We start from the raw sequence: 23,871 nt of genomic DNA on the forward strand, positions 1-23,871 counted from the left end.
TCATTTGCCTAATTTTAATCTGTATCTTTTCTCTGTAATAAACTCTAACTGTGAGTATAATAGCTTCTAGTGTGTTCTATGAATTCTAGCAAATTATCAAGACTAAGGGTGGTTTTGTAATCCCCTGACATTGCAGTTGATATTAGAAAGGGCTAGCCATCTCTGGAGGACTCTGTGCTCAAATGTTACAGTCTGGATACTGCAGGCAGGGCCCTGGGTTTATTGGATGGCTGCTGTATTGCAAGGCTCTCCACTTTGGCCATACACTGGGTTTAAACCATTTTTACCTTCCCCCAGCAGGTTTGTGTACCAAACCTTTTGCCTTTGACAAATGCACCCAGGATAACAGGCTGCTCCAGTACTCTGCTTCTTTCTCATGCCTGCCTTCACCTGGTCTCTGCCTGAAGGTATATTATGTTTTTGATGGCTTAACAATGCTTATTAGAAGTTTTTGTTTGATTGATTTTACTCTTTCTTAGTCCAAATATCTAACCAACCACATTACTAGAAAGAGATGCAGAGTTCATTTAAAATGTTAAAATACTATGTTTGAGGAACTTGTAGAATAAGTAGAAGTTAATTGTCAGCAAACCGCTGAAAATATAAAATAAGAAAATGTGCAACTGGAGGTGAAGAAAAATTTTAGGGATGGCAATATAGAATGCAAGTGGATTTTAGAAGTATATAGACAGTTATGAAATGAAAAGAGAAAGTATAAATATTTGGTACAAGAAAAAAGAGTATTTCAGGAAAAAAATGCCCCAAGCAATGGGGAGGACCAATATTTATGACACAATGAAAGTCAGAGAGTTTAAAGGAAGACAAAAAATGGAGCAAAGCAAGAAAGCCAAGAAAATATAAAATTAATTGATAGAATTCATAGAAATATCTCAAATAGTAATCTGAGCTGTCCTGAAGTTATGGAGATTTTCAGTTCCATATAAGAAAATTATTTTTAAAGAAAGGTTAAATTTATCCTCCATCCATATGTGAAAGAGTAGATCAATAATTAGAATGATTGATGGAATATTTAAATCATAGTTCCACAAGCATCTGGACTCAGTAGTAAACTATTGATATTGGCATTATAAAGGGGTTAATTTATAATGGTGAAAATATAATCTGTGAAATACACAGCATGACTACATAGAGACATTTAACAGTATGATGCTGAATTGGTTTTCTCATGTTGCTAGAGCACCAGTTAAGAAAATGGGATTGATTTCTATAACATCATGTCTAGTTTTGAAATTTACCTCTTGTTTATATAGAATACAACTATTCATGAATTTCAAACAAACATACAAAACAACCATATCTCCTGAGCATACATAAAAAGAAACCATGTAAAAAGTAAAGTTACTTTCAAACAGATCTTCCTTTTTTAAAATAATTATCCTTTACTTTCTGAAGTCTAACTCACATGTAGCCAAACTCATGTTTTGGCTTGATTTTTATGTTGAAAGACAAAAGACAGATTTCGATAGTTCAGTGTGTATTCATCTGTTTATTTGGGGCTTAGGAGTAATGTAAGACATAAGGCATAGGCACCACCGTATTTTGTATTGTTGTTGACTTTCTTTTTCTTTGCTTTTTCCTGCTTTGGATGCACAGAGACTTATGACAAGAATATGTCTAAGTCAATGTGCTGAATATTGGCCTTTAACTTGTGCCAGCTTTTTGTCTGTCCTCATGACTTTCAGTTACACTGACTGTACAATTTGGACTTGCATTCTCATAATTGATTTGAGGATGAAATTAACTTTTATGAAACTTTTGGCTTGAGTATTGCCATCCTAAACTAGATGCATTTTACTGATCACAATTTGTCATCTAACACACTCTTTTGTGTTTTAAGTGAGGTACAGTCATTTTATTTTTTCCATCATAAATGGCCGTGATATAAAGTGTATTATACTTTGGAGAGAATGATTGAAGCTATCTCCATACTTAAAGCACTTTGGCTGAAAGGTGCTGTATTTCTGAAATAGGCTTTCATTATTTATTGACTCACTGCCCTATAATAATTTTTCTGAAGCACTTTTGATCTGTTTTATAAATATTGTGTTTTCATTTTGAAAGTATTTAGCATGCTGGAAAACTTACCACTTAAAAAATTATCATAATGGTCCTTCAAAAAGGATTTTGTTTAAGTAGCCGGTAGTTGAAACCTGTTCTCTGGACTCAGGCAAACATTTGGGAACAAGTCATAACTGTGAGCATTGTCAAAATGGTTAATAACACCAGCATCATATACGCTAAGGGAAATGACTGGTGACAAATTTAGGTGAAAAAAAGGCAAGAGCATTATCATTCTGAAATGTAACCTTTTGCTTTAAAATGTCAAGGATAGGATGTCAAAAACAGCTTTTTACATCATCAGGAAGAGTAGGTTAATTTAAAAATCCTGTTAATGCTAGCTAAGTACATGAAGTTCAATAAATCTCTGCTGAATATATCAGCCTATGAACAATTTAGTTTGTGATATCTTAAGCCAGTCCTAGAACAGTATTTTGCACATAATAGGCACTACTAAATATTTGTGTTATGATTTAAGGAATTTAAAAAAAATAATAATCTATCCCATAGTCACCATTTTCAGGGTTGAACTTCCTGAAATGTGTAAGTCCTTGAGGGCTTGGTTCTGACCTTCAATCCTTATCTAGTTCAGAGCCCTGCTAGCTGGAAAGCACACCCATTTTAAGAAGGTGGAGATTTTAAGAACAGTTCAGACTTGGCTATACAGTTTGTTCCTGTCATTCAGTTTTTTTTTTTCTTATTTAGTTTTACATTTATTTATTCAAATGTCAGCTTCTTTGAGCTGACTTCCCTGACTGCTCCAACTCTGGTAACCATGATATTTCAGCACTTTATCATATATATTTTTATTTCTGTAGGGTTTAGTGTCATCTAAAATTGTCATGGTCATTTATTTGTTTGTTTTTGTATGATCTCTCTTCCCAATTAGAGTGTAAATTTGCCTATCTTATCATTAACTCTCCAGAAATGCGTTAGCATATTGTAGGCACTGAATCAGTGTTTATTAAATATATGCCTAAGTCTTTAAAATGTGTGATCACCTCTGAAGTTGCCGGGAAAATATAAGTCATTTCCCCAGGGAAGGCACCGACTGGTATTCCTTTTTCTTCCATACAATTTGTAACTCTTGTGAGGGAGGTTCTGACAACAAAGGGAATGACATTTATTTGTTTATGTGTTTCAGTATTCCTTATTTTAATTCTAGCAATTTAATGTAGGGAGATACTACTTTTGGACTCTATTTGAAGTGTCTTTGATGAATATCTAAGATTCCATCAGTTAGTGATGAGGTGGTGCTGCCCTCCCAGACCAGAGACATGACATGCAGTTTAAATATGGAAAATGTTTTGGGGATGAAAAATAATTGGTTCATTAATATGACAGTAGCAAGGAGTTTAGAAATGGGGGAAATTATTTTGACAAGTATAAATTGTGACTTAGAAAACTAGAAACAGACTACTCAATAGAAAGTGAAGCTGAATAATTAAGGGTGAATACAATTGGGCATTTAATAAGTATTTGTCAGAATGAATGGACACTGAAGTTTTCCTTTTAAAAATAGCATTTCTATGTTATTCCATGTTCAAAACACTTACCACTTGAACATAGCATCACCGAGACAAATTTACTGATTTAATTCACTCATTAAAAATTTACTTTATATAAATTTCTATGTGATTTGTAAGAAGTGTTTATCAGATTTATACTACTGCAGGGAAATATTAAATAATGATTGATCTTGAGTGAAATATTGAGAGGCCAATATTCCAAGTGTTATATTATCCCAAGTGCTAATAATAAATGGTGTTAGAGAAAACAAACTGATTAGATGAGAGTTTATTGACATTTTAAAAAATCATTTAAATTATGTGGTGGTAATAAAGCTCTATTTTATGTTTGCTAATGGCACATACAATAAACTGCCTAAGATGATTTTGGGTTGGTTGTAATGTAGGGTGAGTGAGATTAATATGTTTTAAAATGACAAGTCGTATGTCATAAAAATCCTCTTGAGTTTTAACAGATTTGTTTCTTGTTAATAAACTCATGAAATTGCATTTAAAAGGTTAATGGGGAGAATAATCTCACACAAGGGAGAAATTGTTAGGCTCCTAGAACCTTTTCCTTGGGATCATAGTAAGTGACCTTTTTCTGAAGGTTCCACCAAAACTATTAAAAACGAGTCAACCGTAGAGAGTGATTATCTTTTAAATTAGCCACTGATTACTAGCTAGTTTCAGGAAATGCCAGTTTTAGGAAAATAAATAGTAATTTGTTTCAATGTCTCCTACATTTTTAGGTATGTAAATGGCCTAGGGCTGTGAATATCAGTGAAGTAGAACTTCTTACATACTCTACTTATTCCTCAAGAGACTGGACTCAGTTTGGAAATAAGGTCATTTTTGAAATGTCATTTCTGAACAAATAGCTTATAGTGAATACTTACAATTATGATTACTGCACTTTTTGCCCTTTTAGTCATATGTTAAGAAAGAAAATTAAAATCTTAAAAAATTAAAGTATTTTTGATGGTAGAAATATGAAGAGTATAAAATAGTATAACAATATTTATGGTAGTAAACAATAGTTACAAAAATAGTAAAGCAGTACCATATTGTTTCCAACATGTTTAATGCCTCTGTTGGCCAGGTTCATCCATACATAATCTCTTAATAATAATCTTGTAAGACAATACCCCAATTATTGGAGTAGGAATTCTAATAACAAATACATGGAATAGCTTGTCTTTTGTTTCACAGTTCAGATGTGAACTGTGACCCAGTTTGACCCAGATCTCTCTCTATGCTGATAATCATGTTTATAAAGACTGTAGTACATTCATTGACTATGAGCCTTAGTTTGTCATCTATAAAATGTTGACAGTATCTACTTCCTAAAGTATTTATACTAATGAAATAAGACAAATGCATATAAATTACTAGCGCAGGGTCTTCCCATAGAAAGTGTTAAATAGATATTAGTTATCTTTACTATTATTAAAATTATGACAATTTTCTAATGTTTTATTTTGAAATTATCAGCTACTTAGGTTTCAAAGCTATCTCTGTTTAACTTTTGCACCATCCTTTTGAGGAGCAACTCACTGTCATTTGTTTGAAAATAAAAATTTGCCTAAACAGAGAAAAAATATTAGAGCATTTGTGCTTCATGTTTTGTTTCCTGAGAAGTTTATATTTTCATGAAGTATATTGTAAGTTAATATATTTTTCTTGTTTTCACATTAAATATGGATTATAATTAGAGATTACTATAGGCCCAATGTTTGCCATAAGAATATATGACATTTAGCCACAGGAAGTAATAACCAGTTCACATGCAAAACAGAAACTAGGAAGAGATGACACTCATCATTTTAAACAATTGTACTGTCTCAGTAGGCTTTTGGTTGTTACTGACAAAATCTGTTCCACATGGTTTCTTTTTCCTTATTTTTCCCCCACTTCCTTAAAATGTACCTTCTGTTTATCTACAGGTACACTTGCAAATTTACATAATTGGTCTTTGCTTATATAAAACGAGTCAGAGTTTATAACATAGGGAAATTATTGTGTGATTTTTATATGGTCAATAAAGTTCTTTGATTCACAAAGATTAAGATATTTTGGAAACTGTGAGCTCCACTAGTTTGTTTACATAATTCAACTTATATAACACTTTAATTAACACTGAACCATCAATCAAACCAAGGCATAGTTATATAATCAAAATGGAAAAATAAAAGTAAAAGTGTTTAATAGATTTTCTAGGAAAGTTCAGGGTACCATGAATAATGCAAATGGCACATAATTGGACTCAAGTTACTTAAAACACCAGTTCTGCTACTAATTAACTGTTCTACTTAGGAAAATCATTTAACTTCAACTTTCTCATCTACGCCATGAAGTAGTTGAATTAAATGTGCGGTATCTAAACTATGAAGAAGCCCTAATATGCTCTCCAGAATTATTCAAATACCTTCCAAAGGTGCTGAGTGATATCAAATATGGGGATTTCCAACCATTCTTGTTAAATTCATTTAATGCTGTTCTGCTCTCATCTGATTTACTGGTGCTCTCAGAACATTTTCATTTGTTAAGAAAGGCTTACGTTGCTAGTAACATTTGAAAAACAACTCGATTTCTAAGGTCATTTCTAACACTAAGTTTTATTTTCCATTATTCCAAATGGGAGGACTGAATCTAAAGTGCATATTAACTTTGGAAAAGTGCTTTTGGCTTCCAGAAAAGGAATATATTAGGAACATAAAATTTATATAACTATTTTGCAAAGTAGTTTTGAACAGTAAAGGATTTTGAGGGTCAGAAAAAACTGCCTTTTTGCAATTGTTCCTTCATACATACAGTATGCTTTTTCCTGGCCCTGCTTCTACCATTTGTCAATCACTGTATCAACTCATTTTAACTTACATTATGTCTCCAATATTTAGCAATTGAAAGTAAAAGAGAAAGAAAAGGAAATTAAGAAGTGACAGTGAGGTACTAATTTTGAAAGTCACAGAAATATACTGTGTTGCATTGTATGAAATTTTGAAGTTAACTATAATATTTAGCTAATATTTCTTTGCAATGCAGTTAGGTAAAGACACTTTTAGATATTCTATATCATTAATGAAAGATTTTAATTTTACATGATTTCAATGCACAATAATGCTAAACTGAGGAATGAACATAATGCACACACTGGGAGACTTAAGAAAATTGCTTAGACATAAGGTGGAGCTTTAGATTAGAGCTCTTAGATTCCTAATAATTCCTAGACATATTTTTTCTGAGATACTGTATGTATTACAAGACTAGCTAATATTTATTCTTTCATTTGCAGTAGCCATTTATTTTTTCTTTTTAGATATTATAGCCTAGTATTGGCCTATTTATATATTTCCTTAATTTAATTTATTTATTTTGTTTTTTAAAACATTGTTTTTCTGCTATTGCTCATTTATCTAGCAACATTGTATATGTGTGTGTGCATATAAAATAATGCACTGTTATAGAGTCATCGTTTCCTGGGGCCAAAGCTGTCATTATAAAACATGTAGTCTATCACTGCTAATGTCAATTTTATTATTTCCTTTGCCAATTCTTGCTCTATCTATATATCCTGGGAATTTACTATGTGATTTTGAAAAGTTAGTAATAATTACTATATTTCTGCTGCATTTTGGGGAGATGTTGGTGCCAGGAGTAGTGTTTTCATCTCCCTAAATTTCCACATAGAACACACTGAGCAATTAGGATGGTAAAGACCAAACCTCAGAAAAAATGACTACAACAAAAAGAAGTGCTACCAAAATCTAAGCAAAAAATACCAACATCTACTAGATTCATTTGAAATCTGTATGGAGGAAGTGGAGGCTCTGAGAAAAGGAAAACCCCAAAGTGGTCATCAGGAACATAGTGAAATGGGTGTCAGGCCATTGTGAGATGAACAGTGTAACTGGTAGGGGGATACAGACTTCAATTTTCAGATGACTTCAGACTTCACGGAATCATCAGAAAGTCTAAAACACCTGGAAGTAGTTTGCACCCTGAGAACTCTTGAACACACAAAAGCTCTTTTCTAGCAAAAAGCACATGTGTAGAGAAAATGTTGGGAGAAGAAAAATTCAGTAGAACAAAGATAATAGAAGCAAAGAAAGAGAATATCAAGATAAAGTTGGGAGAGGGAAAGTGAGGAGAAAGAACTCACAAAGTACACAGACATTTTTTATTACTTCAGTAAGGTTAATAGAGTTACAGAGCTACAAAACCAGAAAATTATTTGAGAATGTCTCTCACTCCTAAAAGCATAAGAAAACTAATTTTACTTAAAAAATAATGGCAGAAAAGTACCTTGGTTAAATTCCACACAAACTATTTTAAAAGAAAAGGGAAAGTGAGATTGAATGACATCTTGCAGAAAAACTGTAAACCAATGTTTCAGAATGAAATGAAGAAATTAAAAGAGTAAGAGTTATGAAAAAACATTATGGATTAGAAATTTTAAAGTTAAAAATTTGATTATTAGAAAAACAGAAAATGGGCCAGGTGCAGTGGCTCACACCTGTAATCCCAGCACTTTGGGAGGCTGAGGCGGGCGGATCACCTGAGGTCAGGTGTTGGAGACCAGCCTGGCCAACATGGTGAAACCCCGTGTCTACTACAAATACAAAAATTAGCCGGGCATAGTGGTGGGCACCTGTATTCCCAGCTACTCGGGAGGCCGACACAGGAGAATCCCTTGAACCTGGGAGGTGGAGGTTGCCGTGAGCCTTGATTGCCTCACTGCACTCCAGCCTGGGTGACAAGAGCGAGACTCCATCTCAAAAAAAAAAATAAATGAATGAATAAATAAGAAAAACAGAAAATAAAAAAGAGAAGTGACAAAGTTCTGTTATGTTTTGACTTTTTAATAATAGCCATCCTGACTGGTGAGGAATAGTAATTCATTGTGGTTTTGGTTTGCATCTCTCTAATGATTAGTGATGTTGAACAATTCTTCATATGCTTCTTGGCTATGTGTTTGTTTTCTTTTGAGAAGGGTTTGTTCGTGTCCTTTGCCTTTTTTTTTTTGAGACAGAGTCTCGCTCTGTCACCCAGGCTGGACTGCGGTGGTACAATCTCGGCTCACTGCAACCTCCGCCTCCTGGGTTCAAGCGATTCTGTTGCCTCAGCCTCCGGAGTAGCTGAGACTACAGGCGCGTGCTACCACGCCCAGCAAATTTTCTATTTTTGGTAGAGACCGAGTTTCACCACGTTGGCCAGGCTGGTCTCGAACTCCTGACTTCAGGTGATCCACCCGCCTCGGCCTCTCAAAGTGCTGGGATTACAGGTGTGAGCCACTGTGCCTGGCCGCCCATTTTTTAATGTTTTTTTGTTTTGTTTTGTTTTGTTTTTTGCTTGTTGATTTGTTTAAATTTCTTATAGATTCTGGATGTTAGACCTTTGTTGAATGCGGTTTGCAAATATTTTTCTCTCATTTTTCAGGTTGTTTGTTTACTCTGATGATAGTTTATTTTGCTGTGCAGAAGCTCTTTAGTTTCATTAAGCCCTTTTTGTCTGTTTTTGGTTTTGTTGCAATTCTCTTTGGCGTCTTTATCATGAAATTTTTTCCAAGGTCTATGTCCAGATGGTATTTCCTAGGTTTTCTTCTAGGGTTTTATAGTTTTAAGCTTTACATTTAAATCTTTAATCCATCTGGAGTCTATTTTTATATATGGTGAAAGGTAGGGGTACAGTTTCATTTTTCTGCATACCACTAGTCAGTTATCCCAGCACCATTTATTGAACAGAGAGTCCTTTCCCCATTGCTTATTTTTGTCAGCTGTGTCAAAGTTCAAATGATTGTAGGTGTGCAGCTTTATTTCTGGGTTCTCTAAATTGTTCAATTGGTCTATGTGTTTGTTTTTGTACCAATACCATACTATTTTGGTTACTGTAGTCTGTATGGTTTGAAGTCAGGTAGTGTGATGCCTCTGGCTTTGTTCTTCTTGCTTAGGATTGTGTTGGCTATTCAGTCTCTTCTTTTAGTTCCATGTGAATTTTAGAATAGTTTTTTTATAATTATGTGAAAATGATTTTGGTAGTTTGATAGAAGTAGCATTGAATCTGTAAATTGCTTTGGGTACTATGGCCATTTTAACAATTTTGATTCTTCCTATCCATGAGCATGGAATGTTTTTCCATATGTTGGTGTTGTCTCTGATTTCTTTTAGCAGCATTTTGTAGTTCTCCTTGTACAGATCTTTCAGCTCCTTAGTTAGCTTTATTTCTAGGTATTTTCCTTTTTAGGTGGCTACTGTGAATGGGAGCGCTCCTTGATTTGGCTCTCAGCTTGGACATTATTGGTGTGTAGAAATGGTACTGATTTTTTTCCATTTATTTTCTATTTTGAAGCTTTAAGTTGTTTATCAGATATAGGACTCTTTCAGAAAGAGAGAGACTATGGGATTTTCTAGATATAAAATCCTATGGTCTATGAAGAGAGAGAGTTTTACTTCCTCTCTTCCTTTTTGGATGCCTTTTATTTCTTTCTCTTACCTGATTGCTCTTGTTAGAACTATTGTATTATACTGTGTTGAATAGATGTTGCAATAGTGGGCATCCTGTCTTATTTGGGCTCTCAAGGGGAATGATGTTGGCTATAAGTTTGTCATAGATGGCTTTTATTATTTTCAGGTGTGTCCCTTTGATGCCTAGTTTGTTGAGGATTTTTAACATGAAGGGATGCTGAATTTTATTAAAAGCTTTTTCTGTGTCTATTGAGATCATCATGTGTTTTTTGTTTTTAGTTCTCTTTATGTAATGAATAACAATTATATATTTGAGTATATTGAACCAACCTTTCATCCCAGGAATAAAGCCTACTTCAACATGGTGGATTAGCTTTCTGATGTGCTACTGGGTTTCACTCGCTAGTATTTTGTTGAGAATGTTTGCATCTGTGATCATCAGGGATATTCACCTGAAGCTTTGTTTCTTTGTTGTGTCCTTCAGGTTTTGGTATCAGAATGATCTTGGCCTCATATAGTGAGTTAAAGAGGAGTCTCTCCTCAATTTTTTGAAATATTTTCAGTAAAATTGGAACCAGTTCTTCTTTATACATCTGATAGAATTTGGCTGTTAATCAATCTGGTCCCAGGGCTTTTTCTGGTTGGTGGGATTTTTATTATTGATTTGATTTCCATACTCATTATTAGTCTCTTTAGGGTTTCATTTTCTTCCTGGTTAACTCTTAGGAGGTTGTATGTTTCTAGAAACTTATCAATTTCTTGTAGGTTTTCTACTTTGGGTACATAGAGGTGTACATAATAGTCACTGAGGGATTTTCTATAGTCTCTGAGGGATTTTCTGTATTTCTAAGGGGTTGGTAGTAATGTTCTTTTTGTCATTTCTGACTGCGTTTATTTGGATCTCCTCTCTTTTTTTTTTTCTTTGTTACTTTAGCTAGCAGTCTATTAATCTTATTTATTCCTTCAAAAGACAATCTTTTGGTTTTGTTGATCGTTTGGATGGTTTTTTGTGTCTCCATTTGATTAAATTCAGCTGATTTTGGTTATTTTCTTCTGCTAGCTCTAGGGCTGGGTTTATTTTTTTTCTTCTTCTATTTTTTTTTTTTTCTATTTCCTCTGGTTGTGATTTTAGGTTGTAAATTTGAGATCTTTCTAACTTTCTGATGTGAGCATTTAACATTATAAACTTTCCTCTTACTGCTTTAGCTGTGCCCCAAAGACTCTGCTATGTTGTACTTTTGTTCTAATAAATTACAAAGAATTTCTCAGTTTCTACCTTAATTTTACTATTTACCTAAAAGTCATTCAGGAGCAGGTTAATTTTCAGGTAATTGTATGTTTTTGAGAGATCTTCTTAGTATTGACTACTAGTTTTATTGTGCTGTGATCTGTGAGTGTGGTTGGTATGATTTTGGATTTTTTTAATTTTTTGAGAATTGCTTTATGGCCAAGTGTGTGATCAGTTTTAATGTGTGTGCCACATGCTGTTGAGAAAATCGTATGTTATTTTACAGTTCATTGGAGTGTTCTTTAGATGTCTGCTAGGTCAATTTAGTCAAATGTCAAATTAGATCCTGAACATCTTTGTTAGTTTTCTCTCAGTGATCTGTCTAATGCTGTCAGTGGGGTGTTGAAGTTTCCTATTACTGTTTTGTGCTTATCTAAGTCCCTTCATAGGTCTCTAAGAACTTGTTTTATGAATCTGGGTGCTCTAGTGTTAAGGTCATATACAATTAAGATATTTAAGTCTTCCTGTTAAATTGAACATTTTATTACCATGTGGTGCCCTTTCTTGCCCTTCATGATCATTGTTGGTTTAAAGTTTGTTTTGTCTGAAATTAAAATAGTAACTCGTCCTTTTTGTTTGTTTGTTTGTTTCACATTTGCTTGGTAGATTTTTCTCCACCTCTTTACTTTGATCCTATCGGTGTCATTGCATGTGAGATGAGTCTCTTGAAGATAGTATAACTTGGTTCTTGCTTCTTCATCCAACTTGCTATTCTATGTCTTGTAAGTGAGGTGTTTAGCCTATTTACGTTCAAGGTTAATATGGATATGCGCATATTTGGTCCTGTCATTGTGTTGTTATGTAGACTTGATTATGTAGTTGCTTTGTAGTGTAAATGGTCTATGTACTTAAGTGTGCTTTTGTGGTGGCTGGTAACAATCTTTCATTTCCATGTTTTGAACTTGCTTAAGGACCTCTTGTAAGGCAGGTATGATAGTAATGAATTCATTTTCACTTACGAAGCTTAGTTTGAATGGATATGAAATTCTTGTTTAGAGTTTATTTTCTTTAATAATGCTAAATATAGGCCTTCAATCTCTTCTGGTTGGTACAGTTTCTGCTGAAAGGTCCACTGTTAGCCTGATGGGGTTCCTTTGGAGGTGACCCACCCTTTCTCTCTAGCTGCCATTAATGTTTTTTACTTTTGCATTGACCATAAAGAGTCTGATGATTATGTGTGTTGGACATAGTCATCTTATATAATATCTTGTGGAGTTTTCTGAATTTCCTAAATTTGAATGTTGAAACAACCTTCAACACCCAGAGGAAATAGAAAAAAAGAAAAAAAAAAGAAGCAACCTTCTCTCTAGTGAGATTAGGGAAATTTTATTGGTCAATACCTTCAAAAAGTTTTCCAAGTTGCTTGCTCTCTTTCCCCCTCGTTCAGGGACACCAATAAATCATAGGTTTGCTCTCTTAATAAAATCCCATAATTTTCAGAAGTTTTGGTCAATTCTTTTTTATTTATTTTTGTCTGATTAAGTTGATTTGAAAAACTGGTCTTTGAGCTTTGAGATTCTTTCCTCAGATTGGTTAATTCTGCTGTAAATGCTTCCATTTGTAATTCTTATAGTGAGTTTTCAATCTCTGTTAGGTTACTTTGCTTCTTTCTTAAAATAGCTATTTTGAGTTTCATCTCTTGTATCATTTTACTGGATTCTCTAGATTCCTTTGAGTGGTTTCAACTTTCTGCTGAATTTTAATGATCTTCGTTGCCATCCAGATTCTGAATTTTAAGTATGTAATTTCAGCCATTTCACCTGGCTAAGAAGCATTCCTGGGGAGCTAGTGTAGCTTTCTGGAGATAAGAAGACATCCTGGCTTTTGAGTTGCCAGAGTTCTTGCACTGGTTCTTTATTATGTGTGTAGGCTGATTTTCCTTTAATATTTGAAGTTAATGTCCTTTTGATGGGACTTTTTGATTTTATATTCATGATGTCCTTGAGGGTTTGTGGTTTAAGTCAGTCAACTGGCTTCGTTTCTGGACAATTTCAGGGGTCCCGGGCTCAGGTCAGCACTCCTGGGCTATATGTTCTAACCTGGGGGGTTGGATCAGGCCCACGACTTTGTTCTCTGGTCCTTTGAGGTTAGCCACCTGCTGCGCTGGAGGAGTCAAGGTGCTCTCAGTCTTCTGGAAACAACACACCAAGGGCGGGGGAGGTACCGGCAAAAGCACTTTGTTGGGTGGTGGCAGCAGGGTCTGCACTTACATGCACTGGCGATGGCAGCTGGTGGCCAGAGTCTATGCAAGTGGGTACATTGGTGAAGGCAGGGCTGTGGTGGTGAGGTACACACATGTACTGGTGACAGTGAAACAGGAGTCTGTCCACACGTGCACCACAGGTGAGTGTGTGCTGGCTAAGTGTTGCGGGGAGGCTGCTGGGGAGTGCATGTCAGTGGGGGCCCGTCTGCTGAAGTTATCTGATAAGTGGAGTCTACTAGCTAAGAAGCTATAGTGGCAGATTCTGGAAAGCACCCTGGCTGAGGATCCAAGGCTGCACTGCAAACAGGTATGGCCAGGGAGGGGACCCAGAAGAGGCCAGCAGATATGGTGGTGCTGAGATCAGATTGACCCTGTCCCATGAGCAAGACAGCCCTGCTCTGACCTGGTATGACAGTCAACAAAGGCCAAAGACACCTAGAGGAGTGTGACACACCTTGGGATGGGCATCACTGCCTGTGCTCCACTGCTGCTATTCCCACACCAAATCTTCTAGGCTCCTCACAGGCTGGAGTCCTGTCCCTGCCACTTCTCCAAGCAGCTTTCCCTGCCAGCTCAGATGTCAGTGGGATCATGGGGTCCCCTTCAGCCAGGATTCCAGAGGTCTCTGATGAGAGTGGGCCACTCCTCACCTATTCAGCTCATCCCTTCACCAGGAGCCACTGGGGGCTGCAAACAAGCCTTGGTGCTTGGCAGCCCCATGCAGGGTTCCCAGATTCCTCCCCGTTCAGCCCAGCATCTTCATCCTCCCTCTGTGTATTCTCAGTCCTCTCTTTCTGCAGATCTGCTCAGAGTTTGCGGGTCTTCTTCATCGAGATATATTTTCTTAAATGTATTGGACTTAAAAAAAGAAAGAAAATATTTTGGACATCCAGACAAAAGACAAATTGCAAAAAAAAAAAAGTACAAATTGTCATCAGACCTTTTCAAAGCAACACGCTACGTTAGACAAAAGTAGGACATTATTTAAGATACTCAAGAAAAGAAAAATGTGAACTGGGGATTATACATTCAACCCCAAATACTTCAAATATGGAGGCCACAAGCAACCTTTTAGAACGTGCCATCTTCTATAGGTATTTTCTACAACATTGTTACTATTCATGAGTCATCTAATAATGAGTTTAGGTAACCTAAATGATTGAAGAGCCATCAACAAATGAACCAGTGTTGATATGGAATATATTTACCTGTATATCAAAATAAAATAATGGATTATAAGAAAATCAGTGTTGTAGAGAATGGCTATACATTCTCACCATGTACATTGTACAATTATTAACCACTGAGGGAGAATGAGGAAATTATGTGAAAAATAAGATGCTCAATAACTGACTTTCAGATATTATTTTGGAGAAATAAGATATTACTTTAAATCAGATAATGATAAGAGGGTGTCAAAGGAGATAAAAAAGTTAGCACCTAATTTAAATATTTCTCATGGCACAAAGTATCAATAAATAAAATCAAAGGAAAAGCAAGAGTGAGGGATTAAGGGTAGTACATAAAGGCATTGTATGTGTGTAAAAAATTAGTATAGGATATATAAATAGCACTTTGTGTAAAATATATAGTTATATTTTAAAATTCGAAAAGATAAACCTTTTTTATCAAAAAGTTACTAATAGTTTAAAGGTATAAATAAGCTGGAGGGAACACCATTTGTATGGATCTAGACTTCTTTGGATATACTCTGGTAGATCTTAATTTGGAACTATGAAAATTATAAAAGTATAAAACAACATTGTTAAAAATGTCTCCCAAAATTGAAAGTACAGTGGAACAGATTAGCCTAAAAATGTATAGAGTTAGTTTCATTTCTATGCAGAATGGAACTAATCTAAGGATACTAAAATGTAGTTCTGGACTACACATCTCTTGTGGGAAATATATAAAGGAAAAAAATTAAGAATTGAATTCTTCATAAGCATATTAATGGTGATAGGGCGAGTGTTATTCTGAGACTCTTTTGTATGCAGTTTAGAAGATAAAGCAAGTTCGTAAATTTTGGTGTCACAAAACTGTAGAATATTTGGCCTGGAGAAAAAGAGATACAGATGTAAGATCAATGAAGTTAAATAAAACTCTGTTAACTTGAATTTGAATTATAAGTATCAGTATAAACTCATGAACTCATGTACTTTATAAATAACATGGTATACATACTCTAGGTGTCTTCGCTTCAGAGGCCAGGGAATAATAATGAACCCCATAGCAATGAGCATTCTTTCACTCAGGCTATGGTCTCTAAATACATTTTCACACAAACTTAAAATAATTTTTAAAATTATTTAAAAAATAGTCAAAGCAGGAAAGATACTACATGAGCCTGGAGTATACTGTTAGGCTACCAAGAAATGTGTCTATCAAAGGCTACTGGTGTCATGCCAAAAGGGCACAGAAGCCAAAGTTTTTCCCAATCGTCAAAAATGGGGTCATTGATTGTTAACATAAAGAATACTGCAATGGATTAAAAAACATCACGCATGTTTAAATCCATGCATGCATAGTAAAACCTTTATTGTAAAAAATCCTCATCTTTGAATGATGAGAAGAAATTGACTTATTATTTTAAAACCAATAAACAGAGAGAAAACACCATTCACTGTGTTTTCTATGCTATTTGCACTCCAGTTGACCAAAGAGTTGATAAAAGAAAGTTTCTTCTTATAGAAGTATCCAAATAAAAATTAAGAAATATTAGAATTATATCATCATTTTGCAATCTCTAATTAATTAATGGACCCAAGAAATTATCATCAATGACTGATAATAGCACAAAAACAGAGTAAAGCAGGCAATATATCCCTTCTAATGGGAATGACCATGACCAACTATGAAATAGCCTTGCAAAACAAAACACACAAAAAACTAAATCTTATCCTGCCTCCATAGTAACTACAGAAAATATGGGAGGCAGAAGAATGTGTTAAGTAGCACCACGGTAATGTAATGAGCAAAATCTGGGGCTAACTACAGTATTTCTTCCATAAAAGATTGCCAGAAAAATAATATAATGGAAGGTGAAACTCTGGTAAAAGAAACGTATGAGATATATTAACTAAGTGTAATCCACAGATCTTTCTAGGATTGCAAATGGCAGACAAACAAAAGTTATAAAAGTTACGAAATGTAAACCCTGGATATTTGATTATAATGTGGACTTACTGTTAATTTTCAGGTGTTATGTTGGTGGTGCTATGTGTAGAAAAGAGGCATTATGTTTTAGAGATTTACACTGAAATATTTATTCATGAAAAGGTGTAATACTTTCAATTTGCTTTAAAATAATCAGGGGTATGAGGAAGTGAGTTGTGTACAGATAAAACCAGATGGCTCAAAAGTTGATAACTGCTGACACTGGAGAGTGGAGAAATAGAACTTCACTCTACTTCTGTTGCTACATTTGTGTATTTTGAAGTTTTCTGTAAGAACATTTTTAAAAGATACTATTTGGAAAGGGTTTAGTTAATTCATTGCAAAAATTTTCATTATATAGCCAGGAGCAATTACTGACCCACTTATGCTTCAGTGAGCAGACTTGTTCCACAAACTGTTATTATACCTTATATGGCATTTTTTTCAGCCAAGTTGTATTGTCTCTTGTGCTCCCACTGTCAACTCATAGATATGTAAACAAAAAGATTTTAGGTAAAAGTTACCAAAATTACTGGTTGCCATCACCTCTACCCATTCCCCACCCAGACGTGTAGACTGTAAATAATTTAACAAATGGCTTATCAGTTTGGTTATGGCTTACCTATACATTAAAAACACAGTGTTCATAGTGTAAAACAACTCCTGGTACACTGTCGGATTCTGCTGTATTCTTAGGCACTCAGAATTACTGTATAGTACACCTTTCACTTCTGCCACTGAAACATGAATTTAAGGTTTATTATGGCTCTGGTATAGAATATGATGCTCCTACTTGTACAGTCACTAAATCAGTCTTCTATCAATTCAGACATCTTGGGAAATTAAAACAATTTTGCCTTTACTTGTTAACATTGCTTCATTTCCTTTTCATTTTGCAACTGCTGTATTGTATGTCACCGTCTAATAGATGACCAGATGGTGCTATTTGAAAGCTTCAATTTGTCCTAAAATTAAATTCCAATGAAAAGAACATCAGGAAAATTCACATTAGTAAAAGTTATGTTTTCAAAACTTGCTGCTGCTACATTTAACTCATAATTATTTATAAATTCTCTTTATTATTTTAAAAGCAATTGAGAGAAATCTTCTTCGCTGAATGCATTTTCCTTGTAAATTGGAGCTAATGTGCAATAATATATTCCTTTTAATTAAAAGAGAGTGATGCATTTAAGTCATTAATTATAAATTAAGTTATTTTTGGATATTAATGCTATGTAATTTGTAGATTGAAATATTCATTAGTATAGAACTTGGGCTATTTTAATGTATCTGCACTGAGTTGAAGACATATTTTACTTGAATACTTGGGCACAAGAAAACAGACTGTCATGTCATCTACCATTGTTACACTAGTGCATCTTTCTCAGCTCACAACTGTGGTTTTGTGTTTCCTTCTAGACCTGCTGGCAGAAAAGGAGAAATGCTGTACGAGGTTTATGAATAGGTCAGTTTGGTATACAAACTGAAGCCCTAAGTGGACTGCTACTACTATTGCAGGGTTAGTGCTGAAAGACGGTGAGGAGGGAAAATTATCCCAATGAATAGAGGTTACAAGTTGTATGTGGTCATCCACTTTATTAGAAAAGTGGCCTGAGTTTAGAATTTAAAACATCTCATGGGAAATATGTAAGGGCTTGGTTGATTGTTCACGGGCCTGGAAAGAGAAAGTTTGAAAGATTAGAGACAACAAGCTCTGGGTAATAAGCTGTGAATGAACTGATAAGACTGGAATGTGAAGCTCTGTGTATTATATACTAGGGCCTCCTACATTGCATTGTCTATGTAAGAAGAACTCAACGATCACATAGAAAGTGATTTGGCTATTAGTTCTTAGCCTGCCTCTGATATCAGCCATTCAATTGCTGGCATGATGGACTTGTGACCAGAATAGTCATAGTAGCAGGAAATGGCCCAACATAATGGGTTTTCACTCACCAATCCTAATTTAACTACTTTTGCTACCAAATTTCCAACATGCCAGCAACAGAGATCAAAGCTGAGGCCATAATTCAGCATTGTTTCCCAAGAAGACTCGAGATATTTTGTGGCAAATTGGTCTCATTAAACCACTTCCACTCGGGAGGGGGCAGCAGTTCAGTTTGACTTGAATGAAAATATATTAGTGTTATGAATGTATCTTTCCTGTCTACAGGGAAGACAAGTTCATAATGGTAATGTGTTTTGATTCAAGTCAAACTACTATTCCAGGGCTAATAGAGTATTTGAGTCATTAGTATAGAATCCTATCTAATATATCACACAGAGGTTATAGAGTACTTGAGTCATTAGTATAGAATCCTATCTAATATCATATCACACAGAGGTTATAGAGTACTTGAGTCATTAGTATAGAATCCTATCTAATATCACACAGAGGTTATAGAGTACTTGAGTCATTAGTATAGAATCCTATCTAATATCATATCACACAGAGAAGACACTTTACAGCAAAAGACAAGCAACCCTGGGCATCTGACTCTTGGCTACACTCATCCTATTTTATATATTAGGAAACAAAGCGTAGAAGTTGGAATAGTCCCTCTTAGTTGTACTTGCAATGACCCATGTGGGCACAAATGTGCTTTCCATCACCACAATTCTGAGCTCTAATGTTTATATGCATACAGAATACCAGGGAAAGAATATTTCTACCAGGGGACACAGCAAGAATCTCACTAAACTTTAAGCTATAGTTGCCATTTGGTCAACAAGAAGCTAGCAGGGAGTGGACTAATTATTCTGGCCAAAGCAAATAACACTAACCATCAGGAGGAAGCAAGGCTGCTGTGATAAAACGGGGGTAGGATGAAAAGTTCATAGTATGCAGTCAAGCTACTGTGGCATCATTTGGTATTGTCCTGGCCAATTTAGATATTAATTAACCAATGCAGCAGTCACAGCCTGAGAAAGACAAAGTACCAGGACTCACAGCCCTCAGGAATAAGGGCATGGATTACCCATCATGTAAGTAACCTAGGCCAGCAGAGGTGCTAATAGAGAAGAGAATTTCCCACAGCCATAGCACCCTGAACACACCAAATCTCATTTGATCTCAGAAGCTAAGCAGGGATGGGCCTAGTTAGTACTTGCATGGGAGAAGAGTATCTTGACTGGGCAGAAGAGAGATGATGAACATGTAAGGTGCAAGAGGCATTCTGCGATGGATGCTGTGGTGTCTGGCTCAGATCTTAATTCAGGATGGAACAATCACTACCCCAATCTCTGGGAGTACTGGCAGTTGATGTCACAGCTATATCCTTCCCAGACAATTGCTTTCAGACAAGGAGCAGGAAACAATAGTTTACTATTTTTTTTCAATCCAGAACATCTCTGACCGGCCAGGTTCAGAGCTATCACTGAGGCTCTGCTAAAGTCGCTTTTGTAACTGTAGCACAGTTCATCTTCTCTCTTTGCCCAACTCTCCTTCTTTCGCTTCTTTGTGGGTGTCCTCCTCCTGCCCCACCAGGAGTATTTTCCAGTAAAAAACTTGCATGCAAATCTTTAGCTTGGAGTCTATTTTCTAAAAAATAAACTTACTGCATCAGGCTTAAACTATAAATTGGTTTTGATTTATTGGTTTAAAACACTTTAAAAATATTACTCTATTACAAGTCTTATTTTACACAGAGAACTTCACAGTATGTAATGGGAAGATACTATGATTTTGTTACTTAATTTGTTTAACATTGACCTTTGAATGCAAGTGTGTGTGTGTGTGTGTGTGTGTGTGTGTGTGTGTGTAAATTAGCTTCCCATGCTCAGTAATTCAGCTAAGAAATTACAGGGGAATTGCAGTAGGTGTTTGTATGAACTCCAGAGGATTATATATTTTGCCTCAGAAGATGGCTAAAGGACACTGAAGATAACTGCAAAGCACCAAACGGCCATAAATCAGACATAAAAACAACACGGTATAAAAAATTACTTTATTTACAGTGGGTCCCCCAGATGTTAAAGAAAAGCTAGTTTATATGCCATAGCATCAACTGCAATTATTCAATTTTCTCTCTTTAAGATACTTGACATTTTACTTTAAAAAAGCGAAATTCTGATTATGCTTCATTCTGTTATCACTTGATTCATTCATCCAATACTCATTACATGGTGAATATTCCTTCTGATTTAAGGCATGAAGCCTCATGTTAATCTCCAAAATGTAAATCTTTCCTTAAAATACACGAGAACTTGTAACGCAAAGTGTAGTCTGTGCATCTGCACTAACAGCAGCACTTAGTAGCTTGCAGACATGCGAAATTCCCACTGTAGACCTCTAAAAACAGAATCTGCATTTTAGCAAGACTACCCCAAAATATTATATACACATTAAAGTTTGTTTGAGAATTACTGCATTAGAGAAAAATTAATTCTAGAGCTTTATCAGAACAAAGTTTTCTAATTTCACTCGAAAAACAAATTTCACTTGAATGAAATTAGAGGTTCTACTGCAAAAATCCAGGCTGATCACCAGCTAGGACATCTGCATGGCTACTTACTCTCAAAGGCTTAGGGGAAATATTACTTCAACTGGGAGGTGTGCACTTTTCCCTAAACAAAAATAAGGCCTCTTCTCTCTGCACTGGATATTTCTAATGACTCCACATTTTCCTTATCACAGAACACAGCACACAAGAAAAGGTGTCTGTCTTTCCTGTGTAATGGACAGGTTTTGAATCGTGGGCCCAGAAGGATTGTCTGGTAAGTTCCCCTTTTTATTTCCACCTGCATGTTGCCGCAGTAGCTGTGGTGATACTAATTTGTGCCCTTTTCTCTGTCCATAGACGACTGGTCGAATGGCAAGCATCTTACTCAAATAGAGTCATAAGGTCTCTTCTCTGGGAATTTTAGCCCTTGGAAATTATGTGGGCACCTGGACTATCACATATACACTGGGGAGCTGTATGTGGTAGCCATTTTCTGCTACAAGATCTAAGAAACAGAAGTTAGTTTGCAATGAAAGATTAATAATACAACAGGTACTCACAAAGAGGAGAAGTAAGGAAAATGGAAAACAATTTGAGTTTTCTAATATCAATGTAGGCCTTTGTTTCATTCTAAGGTTGCATCCTCCTCTTGAAACCTATGCAGAATCCCATTTTATTACCAAATTTTTCTTTCTCTTGAGTAGAAATTGGGTATCTACCATTTGCAACCAAAACATTATTAATATACCTTAGAACATTAGGAGCTTTGTGAAAATAAGATCAATTTTATATGATTTGGGTTGCAATGACCCTTCTCCTTCTATCAGGCAGTATTGGACACATTACCCAAAGCTTGGATAGAGTATTCATTTTATACTGGACACAGTAGAACATTCAAGAGAAAAGCACCACTGTCATTTCAATAGACACCAGAAAGGTGTTTTTAAAATTTACATCTTGTTCCTGATATAAGTATTTGACATACAAGGAATAGAAAGAAATAATACCTGATTTAGTGATTCTATCTAAAACCTTCAGCAAGCAAAATAAATTCTTATGAAGCAGTAGAAGTATTTCCAATAAATTCAGGGCCATTTAAGAAAGTACCACAAAATAAAAGGATATAAGATTAAATATATAAAAACCCCAAATTCTCCTATAAAAATTAATAATTAATTATAAAAATGCAAAAAAGAAAAATCCCTTTAAAACAGCAACAAAAATCAATAAAGTATGCATGTACTAAAACAGAAATGGACAAGACATATGTTGAGAAAACTTTAAAAAATACAATAAAGAAAAATTAGATCTAGCCCATATTCATAAATAATAAACATGGTACACATTTAGTTTTCAAATCAACCTATATATGTACTACAATTTTAATCAAAGTTGTTCTGAAGATCTTTTATGGGACTTGCCAAGTTGATTCTATAATCAGTATGTCAGCTTAGCAAGACCAGCTTTGGAAATGAAAAAAGATGGGGACTTACTCTATCAAATGCCAAAATATCTTATAAATTTAGATAATTTAAAAAATCAAGTTTGAATGAAGTCTCTATCTCATATCTTTCTAAACTATAACTTCCACATTTACTGAACATTAAGGAAAAATATTGGCAGAATACAATAAAAAATGTTTATGATTTTAAGGCAAGGAAGGCCATCTTATGCTCCAAAAATGAAGCAAGATCTCTGAAGTAAAATATTTTAATTGACAAAAGTAAACTACTATATGGTAAATAACATTATCAGCAAATTTAACAACACAAAAACCCTTAAAATAATTAACATTAAGCCCCCAAATCCCACAAAAAGAAAAAAATTGCCAAAAGCTCCACACCCAACACGAGTTACAAACTAGAAATGCAAGTATTATTAATCTTCCTAATACAGGGAAACAAAAACAACAATAATAAAACACTAATTTTTATAATAACTAGCATATGTAAAGGTTTGGTGAAATTGATACCTTATATATACTCCTATCGGCGTGCAAAAGCCATTTTGGAGAAAAATGAGGCAGAATATTATTACGTTTTGTTTCCAAAAGCCCACTGGAAAATAAAAAACAGACACTAGGCTTCTATTAACAGGGAAAGTGGGCAATTGCTGAAGGTAATTCACTCAAGCCAATTATGACAAGCTAATTCACCAAATAGCCAAATTGCAAAAGTCAATTCATAGAAAAATCAATTTGGCAAATTTAAATTAAGACAAATATTTTTAAAGTTTACAATAATTTAAATTGCATGAAAAATTTAAACAAACATTTTGTTTTGGATAGTTGACACATTTTTTATTTTTATTTTCTTGACAGAATTATAAGGAATGTCCATTTGTGCTTTAGCAACTTGAAGCTTCAGTGAAAAGAATCAGAACACAGAGAAAACTTGCTGCTAGGACAAAAATGAAGGAAAGAATCATCCCAGGATGGTGATACTCGGGTTACAGGTGAGCGAGGGGCACAAAGAAGGGAAGCCAGAAGGGCATATATTTAGAACATGATCACCACCTTCTGAAAAGTGAAATATTTTTCATTTCTAAATAACTCAACTTAAATTTTGCAGAAATCTGCAAAAGCTGACAAAATTATCTTACGTCCTCAAATTTGTGTAAGTACTATAAGTAATTTTTAAATTATTAAATTTTATTGCATTGGAAATTGACAAATTATAACTGCATAAAGAATTATTGTATGATCCAGCAATTCCACAGTTGGGTGTACATT

General features: G+C 34.8%; 1 long non-coding RNA gene and 1 pseudogene across 4 annotated transcripts in view, besides 1 other annotated feature; both read left to right on the plus strand.

Annotated features, from left to right (window-relative positions):
- The first annotated feature begins 227 nt into the window (after positions 1-227).
- LOC105375369 (uncharacterized) overlaps positions 228-23,871 on the plus strand; it is a 36,563-nt gene continuing 12,919 nt past the window's right edge. Inside the window, exons 1-4 of one of the 4 annotated variants that reach the window (XR_927704.3) lie at positions 228-407; positions 18,118-18,217; positions 21,335-21,414; positions 23,461-23,594. This is a non-coding gene — a long non-coding RNA (uncharacterized LOC105375369). Of the gene's footprint in view, positions 408-17,854; positions 18,218-21,334; positions 21,415-21,497; positions 21,693-23,460; positions 23,595-23,871 lie in introns of those variants that run through there. The other 3 variants (XR_001744958.1, XR_001744959.2, XR_001744957.2) reach the window with 3 other exon arrangements.
- Positions 11,799-12,426: an enhancer, noted in NCBI's record as "OCT4-NANOG hESC enhancer chr7:79275496-79276123 (GRCh37/hg19 assembly coordinates)". NCBI's record gives its function as "activates a minimal SCP1, AML or CMV promoter by ChIP-STARR-seq in primed H9 embryonic stem cells {active_cell/tissue: H9 hESC(primed)}" and the evidence as "EXISTENCE:reporter gene assay evidence [ECO:0000049][PMID:30033119]".
- On the plus strand, positions 19,728-19,846 carry RNA5SP234 (RNA, 5S ribosomal pseudogene 234; annotated as a pseudogene).

The sequence above is a fragment of the Homo sapiens genome, chromosome 7, assembly GCF_000001405.40.
Source record: "Homo sapiens chromosome 7, GRCh38.p14 Primary Assembly".
In the NCBI taxonomy this organism is placed as follows: Eukaryota; Metazoa; Chordata; class Mammalia; order Primates; family Hominidae; genus Homo; species Homo sapiens.